At 37.6% G+C, this 14,752-nt stretch overlaps 2 annotated features.

Moving 5' to 3' along the window:
- Window positions 1-1,600: an enhancer, noted in NCBI's record as "PEC7". NCBI's record gives its function as "enhancer in somitic muscle, spinal cord, and heart" and the evidence as "EXISTENCE:transgenic organism evidence [ECO:0001131][PMID:25784220]".
- Window positions 3,435-4,843: an enhancer, noted in NCBI's record as "Xe1". NCBI's record gives its function as "enhancer in somite" and the evidence as "EXISTENCE:transgenic organism evidence [ECO:0001131][PMID:25784220]".

Raw genomic sequence — 14,752 nt, 5'->3', positions numbered from 1 at the left:
GGAGACAGCAGGGCTAGATGAGGCCAGAGGTGATGATGGTGGCCGGATCCCACAGGCCCCATGAGTCATGATGAGTTTGGGCTAGATTCTAAAACCAATGGGGAGCTGCTCATATCCTTATTTCAGAAAGACAATCCTAGCTTCCAGGGTAAGAGTGGATTGGAGAAGGCAAAATAAAGGGTAGGTAGGTGAAGAGGAGGCCAGTGCTGTGGTGCAGGGAAGTGGGAAACAAATCATCTATTGAGACATCATGGAATGACCCAGTCCAAGAGCAGGTGGAATGTGATCTCCATTCCAAAAGAACAGAAAAGCAGCTATTAACATAAGGGGTCACCAAATGTGCAGCTAGTAAGTTGTTACATGAATTCTCAATTACACAAAGAAAACAGAAATTAATGGGTACTATTTGTGCATAGTTTTCCAAGGCTCACATGCACAAAACTTTCATTCTTAAAATTTCCCATGAAATTTTGTTTTCTTGCCCTCTTTGGAAAATATTATAAGTGGTCTTCCTAGCCCCAGAAAAGTTGTTATACTAAGTAAGTCCCCACAGAAGCCTGAGTCACTGCCTCCAAATTATCCCACTCCAGCACAGGCAGGAAGACAGAGGACTCTACACCCAAACCTCGTCCACAGCCAGAGTAAACAGCTCAGTCATCCAGTGACTAAAGGTCAATGTTTCTAGACTTTCTCATATGAGCAGCTGGAGAGGAATTTTATTAAAAACTGTCACCCACACAGAACTCACTGAAATTATGGAGAGAAATGCACTTAGGAACAAAGCATTCACTTTTTTACATGTGTTTCCTTTGGTATCAAGTTAATAATAAAAAATTAATGCCTTCAGGTGATAATTCGTATCTGGCTGTGGATGTCCCTGTGAGCTGAGATCCAAAGGAGAAAAGGCGAACATATGTCAAGCCTGATGATGTGGTGGCATGGGAGGAGCCTGGAACAGGAGCGGGGAACCAGGCTCGGCCCTGGATTTGCTGTGTGACCTTGGAAGTCATTAAGTTCTCCTGGCCCAGCTCTTTCTCAAGAGGATTCATGTAGTGATTACTAACACATTAGAAAATGGATCATTTGGCAGCAGTTCTCAGCCAAGTAAGTTTCATAGAGGTGGACAAATGAGACTTTGGGGGGAAAATGACTTAGGAAAAGTCTACGTGAGATTCTGATCCTTTTTATCCCATTTCTCTCCCCAACAGACACAAACACACACATACATATAGACACATACACACTCATAACACACATACACTCATACCTACATGCACATAACAGGGAATACATGCAGTTCTTGTTAAATCTCTAACATTACTTGGCTCTGACATTCTTTGATTTCATCACTCTCCCTTTCAAATCCAGGCCTTGCTCTCAAATCAGTTTAGACCTTATTCTAATTCAAAGCCATTCAGACCATACCATTCCACATTTTAAAACTGGAGAGATTAAATCAACCTCTTACGTGAACTTTCCCATAAGCTGGCCACACCCACCCAGCCGTGACTGGGCAGAAGCCACTGTCTGATGCATGGCTCTGGTAGGCGTCCTGCAGGACCTCTCCTTAGAAAGGGAAAGGATCTGGAAAAGTAGGGGGGTTGGGCAGGGGTTATTAATAAGAGGGGCTCTGCAAGGCCCTTCTCTTTTCCCAAAATCCTAGAAAAGGTAAATAAACCTAAGAACAAGTCATATCTTCTAAGCCAGGATCGTCCAGTTTCAAGTTACTCTTTCTGTTTATTTCCTCTCATTATTTCCCAAATTTAATGGTCCTACTTAAGCACATCAGCCAGCACCATCATTGCTTCAAAGCATTAATGGAAAGGTTGGAAGTTCATAACTGGTCCATTCTTAAAGATGAGACAGTTTCTCTTTTTTTTTATAAGGAACACAGAAGAGAGTAGAGGCTGCTAATTTTAGCTACCTTTCTCCTCAAGGATATCCACCCAAACTCAGAAGAGCTGGCTTATGCATTAATTAAGACAGAAATCCCCTCACATTCCATGCAATAATGAAACCTGGAGGAGGCAGATCCATGGCTTCCCTTAGGTGATTTCTCAGAGATTGAGGGGTTCACATGTAAGAAAGCATTTGATAAAATGTAAACAAATATCTACAGCATCTGAACCTCGCCCCAATATTTAATGGGAATTTCTCAACCATAGATACATCTATTTGAGCCTAAAATAGATAACAGTGTGCGAAGTACACACATGCATGTACTTGCATACTCTATTTCCTTTCACGTTTTAATGCACACTGTTTAAGGATGTATTAGGAAGGAGGAAGGAAGGGGTATTTTTCATCAATGTCTAAGTTAATATTTGATGCAATGATGTGCAATAAATCTATGCAAAATATTCATATTTGAAATAAAAACGCTTTCATTAGTTTAATCTAATATTTTCTCATCTCTTGAGACAAATGTGAAAGTTGACTCTAAAAATCAAATATATAGCAGTTCTGAAAAACCTTATACCCACTACCCAACTAGGGAATTTCAATTTTGCCAAAAAACTTGGTAATGCAAAATGGTTATAAGAATATTATTCACAATATTAGACATCTCCAGCTAACTCAAGTCAATTGTATAAATTTGCCCTTAGTAGGTACTTTCTAAAAGAACTTTTGGAATCTCTATTAGTGGACATTATTATTGCTCTGCTACTTACAGAGCCCTAAGTGAATTCAAGCTGGTTAAGACATCATTTCACTTCTATAGTCCTCACGTTCTTCAGGTAAATCAGAGGAGAAACTCAGAGAGCTTTTAATTCATAGATAGAAAAAATAGTGAAACTCTGCATCAGCCACCCTCAAGGAGTCTTTTATAAGAAACAAGATTTGTGAGTTAATTCTATCAGCCATGGAAAACCTACATTTAGGGAATGTCACCAAACACACCAATAAGTCACTTCCCAGTCTCTTTCTTAATTGCAAGAACAAAGGACCTCTTCAGATCCTTCCTCAGTCCTTTTACATAGGCATCAGTGCTCTGTTGACACTGAACTCTTACTTGAAGTTTGAAGGAATCTGTTTTGAAGACCCTGAAAAAAAGCTTTGGCTAAATCATTTGCCTTCTTCAGCTCACTCCAAGTCAGTGGAATGGACACTAGCAATGACAGAAAGACCATAGGGTCTAGAGTTGGTTGAATACTCAAATAGCATTAATTTTGGTTTCATTGTGAGGCACACAGAGAGTGTTTTTCTTTGCGATGTGAGCTCAAGTTACAGAACAGAGTCTGCAGATTAGAGCCACTCTGACTGCAAGTGAGCAATGGAGGCCCTTACTTTAAGGCAACTGAGACTCCTTGAAATCTCTGCCTGAAGAGCACTTTCTAGCATGGAGCCATCACCATAGGAATCCCCCCTTCTGATGAATGTTCTATGGCTTTCATATTGGGACATTTACATCCTAAGCCCCCTCATTATATACTGAACCAGTTGGGGATGAAGAGCAAATGTGACTTTTTACTCAGTAAATACAACGTCTAATATCAAAAGAAACTCAACCCTGTGAAATGGATTGGAAAGACAACTGTTCAGGTCTCATTCTGCAGCTAAGCCTTGCAACAGGAGCTAAACTGTAACATCTTTTAAAGTGTCCTCATGGGATCCATATGTGAAGACTGCTAAAACTGTTAACATACCCAATTAGGTTTTAATTTATCTTAGTTTCCTCAGTCCTGCCATTAAAAGTCACACCATAGAGCCATCAAGCCTAGCATTACCAGCCTCACAGTTTTGTCAGGTGCTGCCCAGTGAGTCGAACTATACACAAGCTGCAGAAACTGGACCTTAATTCAAGCTAAGAAATGTTTAAATGGGTCAGGAGCATTTACCCTGGACATCTGTTTGAGGCATAACCTAAGGATATTTAAAAGTCTCTTAACAAAACAAATAAAGGTTTCCACATTCCCAAGGACAAAAACCATTTAATCTACTTATACAGCTCTTTCAAGAATGTAATATTTTGGCAGGACATGTATGTCAGTGAAGCAACAAGCAATGAGATTTATAGAGGCTAATTTATGTTTTAGTCTGTTAAGACATATTCCAGGTAGTCATGCTCGCTATGGGTAGCATTTTCCCTCCTGCATACTCATATTGTTTCAGTTTATTATAGCAGCATGCCTTGTGAGATCATGGGTTGCTGAGCACACGCATATGGCTGCACCATTTATTATGGGAAGAATCAACACCTTTAGTGAGGTCACTTATTTCCCTTTGGGTGCTCATACTGTAGGTGATGAAATCATGTATTTATCTACAACTTATTAGATTCATTTGATTAACTAGGGATCAATTTTTGCTTAACCAACTGTGCAGGTTGCTGGGTAGGAAGTTTCTTGGTACACTGCTATGGTGTTTCAAAACAGCAGTTAAAATAATTATCTTAATATGGGACCACTGGGTCATTCTCAAACACATGTTGGAGACGCACTGAAGACAGTGCTTAGAACTAAAAATACCAAACACATGGAAAAGTCGTTGGGCTCTTAAGGCACTGTGGCTTCTTTATGAATTGGGAATGGCACAGTAAATGTGTGAGATCGCTCAGGCCTGCAGCGAGCCTTTCCTGCCATCAGTGAACTTGCGACCTTATCTCCTTGGAGGGCTGTTAAAGTGAAGTCAGAGGGCAGGGGAGTTATTTGCAAGTACCCTTTTCACTTGTGTGGTCTGAAGGACTAACAGATTTATCCAAAAGACGGACAGAGGGAGCAGAGTTGAAGAAGCAGCTGGCTAATCCAACATGCAGCTCAAAACACAAAACCCAAACAAGGGCCAGAGTTGCCATTTGGTTTTGTAGGGGCCAGTCATGTTCTGAAAAGCAATTTTCCCCCACTGTGTAGGCTGTCAGCAAATGGAGACCCTAGACATCCTTATAAGGCAATGTGTCACCAAGGTAAAGATGAGGTCCTTTTGTCACATGCTAGGGGCCCACAGGGGCACTTCATTTGCAGCCGTGAAGACAAGAAGGGCAGAGCAGGCCCCTGGGCAACTAGATCATTGTAGTCAACTCCCTGACTGACCATCCAGAGGGTCCGGAACTGACGGATTGGAAATATTTGTCCAGATTTCTTTACCTAATTGAAAAGATGGCAGATTCGAGCAAAAGCCTGGGATAAAGAGAGAAGGTGCTGAGGAATTAAACGGAAGGCAAATAGTTTGGGGGAGGAGAAAGCTATTGTAAGTAGAGCATTCTCTGCCTCCCCAGATTCAGTGCACTTTACACAGAATTCCAACTGGATACTTCCTAACTTTCACCCTTTACACCCAAAATACATTGACATGGATATTATATACATTATGATATAAGAGATGTTACTTTCACAATGGAGAAAATTGGGAAAGGCTTATTGGCACTTTTGCCATTAAAGAGATAATTCTCAAGACGTGGAATTCCAAAGTAGAATGCAAGCCCAGCAAAGGTGTGGTGGAACAGCATCATCTCTGAGGTCAGGGTATGCATAGACTGATTTCTGAGTTTAATTTAACCCCTAACTACTGAAAAGGAACCAGAGAAACAAGAACAAACCAAACCCAAACCCAGCAGAAGAAAAGAAATAACAAAGATCAGAGCAGAACTAAATAAAATTGAAACAAAAAATATACAAAAAAAAATGAAACAAAAAGCTGGTTCTTTGAAAAGATAAATAAACTTGATTGACCATTAGTGAGATTAATCAATAAAAGAAGAGAGAAGATCCAAATAAGCTCAATTAAAAATGAAACTGGAGATGTTAGAACCGATACCATAGAAATACAAAAGATCATTCAAGGCTACTGTGAATACCTTTATGCACACAAACTAGAAAACCAAGAGAAGTTGGATAAATTCCTGGAAATATAAAACCCTCCTAGCTTAAATCAAGAAGAAATAAAAACTGTGAACTGACCAATAACAAGTATTGAGGTTGAAATAATAATTATAAAATTGCCAACCAAAAAAAAGGTCCAGGACCAGATGGATTCACAGCTGAATTCTATCAGACATTCAAAGAAGAATTGGCACCTATCTTACTGAAATTATTCCAAAAGATAGAGAAAAAGAGAATCATCCCTGAATCATTCTATGAAGTAAGTGTCACCTAATACCAAAACCAGGAAAGGACATAACAACAAAAGAAAGTTACAGGCCAATATCCCTGATGAACATAGATGCAAAAATCCTCAACAAAATACTAGCTAGCCAAATCCAAGAGCATACCAAAAAGATAAAACACCACGATCAGGTAGGTGTTTTATGAGGGCTGCAGGAATAATTTAACATACACAAGTCAGTAAATATGATATATCACATAAACAGAATTAAAAACAAAAATCAGATGATCATCTCAATAGATGCCGAAAAAACACTGGACAAAATTCAACATCTCTTTATGAATAAAACCCTCCAAAAAATTGGCGTAGAAAGGACATACCTCAAAAGCCATCTATGACAAACCCACAGCCAGCATTATACTAAATGGGGAAAAGTTGAAAGCATTCTCCCTAAGAAATGGAACAAGACAAGGATACCCACTTTCACCGCTTATGCAGTATGGGAAGTCCTAGCCAGATCAATCAGACAAGAGAAAGAAATAAAGGGCATCCAATCTGGTAAAGAGGAAGACAAACCATCACTGTTCATCAATAATATGGTTATATACCTAGAAAGCCCTAAAGACTCATCCATAAAGCTCCTAGATCTGATAAATGAATTCAGTAAAGTTTCAGGATACAAAATCAATGTACACAAATCAGTAGCACTACTGTGCACCAACAACCACCAAGGTGAGAAACAAATCAAGAACTCAATCCCTTTTATAACAGCTGCAAAAATATCAAATACTTAGAAATACACCTAACCAAGGAGGCGAAAAATCTATACAAGGAAAACTACAAAACACTGCTGAAAGTAATCATAGACAACACAAGCAAATGGAAACACATACCATGCTCATGAACAGGTAGAATCAATATTGGGAAAATAATTATACTGCCAAAAGCAATCTATGAATTAAATGCAATTCCCATCTACCATCATCATTCTTCACAGGCCTAGAAAAAACAATCCTGAAATTCATATGCAACAAAAAAGAGCCCACATAGCCAAAGCAATACTAAGCAAATGAACAAATCTGGAGGCATCACATTACCCAACTTCAAACTATACTACAAGGCTGTAGTTACCAAAACAGCATGGTACTGGTATAAAAAGAGGCACATAGAACAATGGAACAGAATAAAGAACTGAGAAATAAAGCCAAATATTAATACTTACAGTGAACTGATCTTTGGCAATGCAAACAAAAACATAAAGTGGGGAAAGGACAACCTATTCAACAAATGGTGCTGGGATAGTTGGCTAGCCACCTGTGGAATAATGAAACTTAATGTTCATCTCTCACCTTATACAAAAATCAACTCAACTTAAGATGGACCAAAGACTTAAATCTAATACCTGAATCCATAAAAATTCTAGAAGATAACATTGGAAAAACCCTTCTAGACACTGGCTTAGGCAAAGACTTCATGTCCAAGAACCCAAAAGCAAATGCCACAAAAGCAAAGACAAATAGAATGGACTTAATTAAACTAAAAAGCTCTTGCACAGCAAAAGAAATAATCAACAAAGTTAACAGACAATGCACAGAGTGGGAGAGAATCTTCACAATCTATAAATCTGACAGAAGACTAATATCCAGAATCTACAGAGAAGTCAAACAAATCAGCAAGAAAAAACAAACAATACCATCAAAAAGTGGGCAAAGCACATGAATAGACAATTCTCAAAAGCAGATATACAAGTGGCCATGGAACATATGAAAAAATGCTCAACATCACTAATTATCAGTAAAACACAAACTGAAACCACAATGAGACACCACTTTACTCCTGCAAGAATGGACATAATTTTAAAATTAAAAAAAAATAGATGTTGGCATGGATGTGGTGAAAAGGGAACACTTTTAAACTGCTGGTGGAAATGTAAACCAGTACAACCACTATGAAAAACAGTATGGAGATTCCTTAAACAGCTAAAAGTAGAACTACTATTTGATCCAGTAATCCCACTATTGGGTATCTACCCATAGGAAAATAAGTCATTATATGAAAAAGACACTTGTGCATGCAGTATATAGCAGCACAATTCTCAACTGCAAAAAAAAAAAAAAGTAGAACCAGCCTAAATGCCCATCAATCAACAACTAGATGAAGAAAATGTGGTATATATACACTGTGGAATATTACTCAGCCATAAAAAAGATTGAAATAATGACATTTGCAGTGACCTGGATGGAATTGGAGACCATTATTTTAAGTGAAGTAACTCAGAAATGGAAAACCAAATACCATATGATCTCACTTTTAAATGGAAGCTAAGTTATGAGGATGAAAAGACATAAGAATGATATAATGGATTTTGGCAACTCAGTGGGAAGGATGGGAGGAGGGCGAGGAATAAAAGACTACACACTGGGTACAGTATACACTGCTCAGATGATGGGTGCACCAGAATCTCAGAATTACCACTAAATAACTTATTTATGTAACCAAAAACCACCTTTTCCCAAAAAACTATTGAAGTGAAAAATTAAGGCTGGGCACGGTGGCTCATGCCTGTAATCCCAGCACTTTGGGAGGCCGAGGCAGACGGATTGCCTGAGATCAGGAGTTCGAGGCCAGTCTGGCCAACATGGTGAAACTAAAAATATAAAAAAATTAGCTGGGTGTGGAGGCATGTGGATGTAATCCCAGCTACTCGGGAGGCTGAGGCAGGGAATTGCTTGAACCAGAGAGGTGGAGGTTGCAGTTAGCCGAGACTGTGCCACTGCACTCCAGCCTGGGCAACAGAGCGAGACTCTGTCTCAAGAAAAAAAGAAGAAATATGATGTGTTACATATGTAATTTTGAAATATTTATACACATTCAAAATTTTTTTTAAAAACAGCTAAAGTTAATATTAATAATACATTTTACTTAATCCAATATATGTACACTTGTCATTCATATAAGCAATACGAAAAATTACTAGTGAGATATACTGCTTTTGCATATTAATTCTTTGAAATCCTGAGTATATTTTATAACATACCTCAATTCAAAGTAGCCATATTTCAAGTGCTCAGTGGTCACATGGGGCTTGTGTCTGCTGTACTGGACAGTGCAGGTCTTGGATTTAAGGCTGGTATGGCATAGAGAAAATGACTCTTAAATTATCTGTGGGGCAAATAGTAGAGCAAAGTAATGCTAGCCCCATCTTACAGAGAAAATCCTGGGATGGTTTGTGACAAAGCTGAGCCCAGCATTGTAGCTGACTTTATCATCAACTCAAATACGTGTCTACTGGGGTCCAGCTGTCATTCTCCTCCCTTATGAGAGGAAGCTAAAGCATAGGTGCTCAGAACGTCCACCCTGGCATCAAACTACTGAGCTCAAGTTGTGATTAGTGCTGATCCATCTTTGGCAAGTATTTATCTTCTGTGTGTTTCATTTCCACATCTGTAGAATAGGCATGATAGTACCAACTTGGCAAGGTTGTCTTAAGGCATTCACTGAGGTTATACTATAAAGCAATCACTTAGCATACTGATTGTAAGTATACTGAAAGAGAGCGCTATTAATGTACAATATTAAAATAAAAGCTATCCATGGTAGTCATAGAGCCATCACCAAATATTTTCATCTTTCTTCCTTCTAAGCACAGAGTAGGATAGTGTTTCTTTGTCCCACTGAAGTTAGGTGTGGTCATTGACTTATTTTGGACAATGAATTGTGAGTGGAGTTATGTGTCACTCCCAGGTAGAGTTACTCATTTGCAATAAGCTCTGCCACAGCGATGAGGCATGATCCAGAGAGCAGCTGCTGCATCAGGCTGGGTACCAGGGCAAGATCCATAATGGACATAAAACATGAGAAAAACATAAGACTTATCGCAAGCCATGACAATTTGGGAAGTATTCCTTGCTGCAGCATTATTTAGTCCATCCTACAGGATACGTCATCTTAATTGACGTTTGCTTTAGGGATTCATGAAGTTAACTAATTCCTCCCATCCTCTGTAACACACTGACTGATGCCCATAGGTTCAGAATGCAGAGATTTAGACAACTACTCTCTAATACCTGAGGCCCCCTACATCCATCTCACAAGTATTGTGCTTATTTCCAAGTAGTTTATACTATTGTAATTAAGTTTAATTAAATATGGCACACATTGATGAAATTTGAGTAGGAAAAGAAAATGAGCATTTTATCTATGAACAATTGAATGTTTTGTAGAGACTAAATAAATTTGAACTGTCAAAATAACTTGAATTAGTTATGCCAGAAACAATTAAAGTTGGGGTGGTATACATATTGTACAAAATACAAGAAGATTCTGCACTCTGATGCCTTTGCACACAGCTTTCAATTCTTGCTTTGCTTCAGAGAAACCCAAACTGGAAATTGCAGAAGATATATTATTGGTGTGGTTTTTGCAAGAAACACAAAGTAGAACTTCAATCAGCTACCACCCATTCAAAGTAAAGGTTGGCCTTACATCAAAAGATTGGAAAATAATTGCATAGTTTCATGCCTTATGTTAAATGAAAATGTTAAAGGTATGTATGTATCATTTTTATGACCACCCTCCCAAAATAAATCAAACATTTGGAAGAGCCAATTAAAAACTAGTCCTACTTATATGGAATAAGAGGTGATCTTAGGTATGGTGTATTTCTCTTGTTTTAGATTTTTATTTGCATAATATACTTTTGAGAAAACATGATATGAAAAAAAGTTGTTGTTGTTGTGATGACTTGGGTTAAAAAATAATACACCTGGTTAACAAGATGATTCCAGGAAAACTTCATTTGACCTCATCTCCTGCCTGAGATAATCCACACATACCATCCATCCCAACCCTTACTCTTTGGGAATAAACTTACCTGGGCCTAACAACTGTAGTCATGCAGCCAACCTCAAAAATAAGAAAGAGGAGGTACAGGCATTTCTCATTATTTTCCCATAAGCTCCAGATACAGGCTCTTCTTCTGACCATACTTACAATACCTAACATGGATCCCACAGAGCCTCACCAACTACTTTCAGCTGTTTCCCAGTGATGAAATGTTTCAGACATATGGTTACAGAGATTAATATCTGTGCAGACCAGTTTTTGAAACAGCCCAGAAATAGTTTGGGAACATGTGGCATTAAACAAATATAAATTCTGAGCCTGGCTTTTTCCTCCATGCGCCTCTCCCTTCCACACCTGGACTTTCAGAATGAGTCACACAGAAGACTCGGGAATTGAAGACAAAGAACTGGGTATGAGCACATATTTAGATTCTAGGCCACTGGACAAAAACTTCAGGAGGGGCTGTTAATCTTGTTGAATCACCAGAGGAAATGGGCTCCAGTTCTTTTGGTGGTCTCCCTAAACTAAAAGTCCTACCTGGATAGTTTGGGTTTGTGTTCTTGAGGTTGTCTCATGGAATGAGAGTAATGTCAAACTTTCTTCTAGTTTCTCCCACCCTCAGAAAACAACATGGTATGGGTTGGTATCTAATAGCTCCTTGAGCTATTTCTCTATTTCTCGAACACTAAGTTGTCCCAATTTCTGTGATATTAACCTGAAGATGATCCTTGTGAGTAAGGAGGAAAAAAAATCCAATGCATAGAACATGGAGGATTTTCACGGCTGTCCTACAAATAGCTTACAGAAGTTTCACATAGATTCACTCCTCCAAAAACACTATTTTAAAATGGTTTCAATTATGGTTAGAAAATATGTGCTGTGTGTTTTGTAGAAGCACAGGCCAGAAACAATTGATAAGTCAGAGGTGGCATTTCCAGTTTAGTTCTCAAAAGTTTGAGATTTATTACCTAGAATTAAAAATTCTATCCTGAGGAAGGACATATGGCTTTCAGGCAGCACATAAAGGCAGACACACACACACACACACACACACACACAACACACATACCCCACACAATTGGCTTGAATTGAGAGAAAAAATATTTTATAATGAAAGATGGCCAGTTACACTGATTTTTTTTAAAAGTTTAATTTAACAAATTCATCTTGTTTTGCAAGACCAGACATGTACTGTCATGAGCTTCGAGCTATTAAAGAAAGTAGAGAATGTAATAAAGTGAAGCCCAAATGTCCTTAATACAAAATTAGACAAAATTTTATTTTCAGAGAAAAGAAGACAAAAGAAGATGGCTTCCTCACCATTTCCCAACCACAGTGAATTATTTAATAAGGGCTCGTCCTTGTTAGGATAGCTTGACCATTACTTTGCCATAAAAGGTTGCAATGTGTGCAAGTTAAGAGTGCCAGGAGAAGAGAACAGTAGACTTGGATCCTTTTTGATTGCCAGAGTAGGGAACAGATAAGCAGACTTTTCTCAGCTTGCACCCTCAGATATTCCAGGTTTTCCTTAAAAGAAATGGGGTGGAAACAAAGGAGTTCTTTTTTTCTTGCTGCAATTCTTCCAAAACATGGTGAAATTCTTAAGACATACTTTTCTATTCACCTTCCAATGATGTGAAGTCCCAACTGCAAGAAGAGCCAGAGACACAATAAACAAAAATTTATGTAATTCTGCAATTTCCTTGCAAAAGAACCATAAAATAAGCTACCCCAAACCTAAAAATGCTCACCAATATTAATAAGCTCAAGCTAATCAGCCAGATTCTCTCATTGATAAAATTTCTATGCCCAGGGCATAGAAAACACCATCCTGTTCTCAGGCAACTAACCCAAACATTATACTTAGAAAGTAGACTTCTAGGTAATACCTGTTGAGAAAATCATTTGCATCCCTATAATCTTATTTCAGGAATATTAAAAATTTGAGAAATATTCAAGAAGCACCTTTTAGCTAGAACTCAGGAACTGATGAGAGTCAACCGAAAGCAGCAAGGGAGATGGTGCTTTAGGGAGATGGTGAGCAGGAATTTCTTTTTTAAGCCTTTCTGTTTTTTTCATTCATGAAAGAACACCCAGAAGGACAAGAAAGATTTAAGATTTAAAGTGATGTTAGTCAAAGCTCTTTGAAAATATAGTTTGTCCATAAATGTTTTCCCAACAGGCTCAACCAAGTTTATTTTTCTGTGGTTTTTATTTATCTTTTATAATAGCATCAATGCTATTGGTCTTATTCAACAAAAGAAAAATGTAAATTTTTTAAAGAGTTGATCTTTCCCTAAAAAATTCATCCAGACTGCTTTAGAAAAATAATCCACATAGCTGAAAAACAAAGATTTATCTATTATGTTTGTTATCTGATACTTCATAAGCTGAATCTTGCCCCAGAGAGCTTAGAATCTGATTGGAAAATAAAATAATCTTACTGATCTCTTTTGTTTAAAATAAAAAAGCAGCTTTGTTTATCCATCTAGAAAAAATATATGTTTATTGTAGCAAATTGAAAAATATATAGATAAGTCAGGAAAACCTGTTAGCATTACTGCAACTTCCATTATATACAGTTACTGTGGACATTTCAATATAAATATTTACAGAATATAACATAAATATATAAATTTAACCGAAATGGGCTTGAAGGAAAACTGTTTTATAACCTATGATATTTTTTCCTTCACATTTCATAAACATTTTTATTTTTCTATAATATATAATATATATAATATAATTTTGATGTCTATACAAAATTTCATCATGTAATTGTAATCCTCTATTATTAGATATATAACATTTCTTGAGGGTTATCTTCCAGTATAAACAGAACTGTGATAAACAAATTTACAGACACAACTTCCTGCAGACTACTCCAATAGACTTAATTTCTAAAACAGGGTTCTTGTGCCTAGAACTTTTTTAAGATTTTGATATATATTGCCAAATTGCTCTCCAAAATTTGTGTGAATTTACACTACACAATAGAGTATCAGGGTGCCCATTTCCTTGGAGTTTGTTGATACTGAGTGTTACACACTGTCTTTGTCCATCCATGCTGCTATTAAAAACATACCCAGACTGGGTAATTTATAAATAATGAAATTTATTTCTCCCAGTTTTAGAGGTTGAGCAGTCCAAGATCAAGGCACTGGCAGATTTGGTGTCTGGTGATGGCTGCTCTCTGTTTTCAAGATGGTGACTTCTTGTTGTGTCCTCACATGGCAGAAAGGGAAAGAGACAGACACTGCCCTCACATGGCAGAAGAGATGGAAAAGCCAGGCAGCTCTCTGATTCCTCTTTTATACCCACATTAATCCCATTTATGAGGGCAAAGCCCTCACAGCCTAATCACTTCCCAAAGACCATACCATTTAATATCATCACCTTGGGGTTTAAGTTCCAATATATGAATTTTGGAGGGTCATAGACATTCAAACCATAACACACACATTCTGATCTTTACCAAATTAACAGGTGGAAAGATATTTTACTGTTCTTGTACTGGGTCATTTCTATATTTTCCTTTGAGAATTGCCCTATTATGTCTTTTCTGTGGTTGAAATTCACAAAAATTTTTGAACACTATCATGCAAATAAGTGATGCAAAAATACATCCAGGTAGCACTGATACTGTTTATCTACTAGATGAACTACATGAACTCAGATATTTAAGTTAATTGCCATCTTAAGCATAGAAAGCAAGTATAATAAGAATAGAGGTGAGAAAACTAGGGTATGGCATTAGTGCTTTTAACTACACCTGCAATGAAAGAGAAGTGAGGTATTTTGGTATAAAAGATACCTTTAAACTTTCTTTAGTTATCCTTCCTCATTGATCTGCCAAATCAAGAAA

This window comes from Homo sapiens, chromosome 20, assembly GCF_000001405.40.
Source record: "Homo sapiens chromosome 20, GRCh38.p14 Primary Assembly".
Classification (NCBI taxonomy): domain Eukaryota; kingdom Metazoa; phylum Chordata; class Mammalia; order Primates; family Hominidae; genus Homo; species Homo sapiens.
Note: the sequence above shows the minus strand (reverse complement) of the source record. Positions and strands in the feature narration are given on the sequence as shown.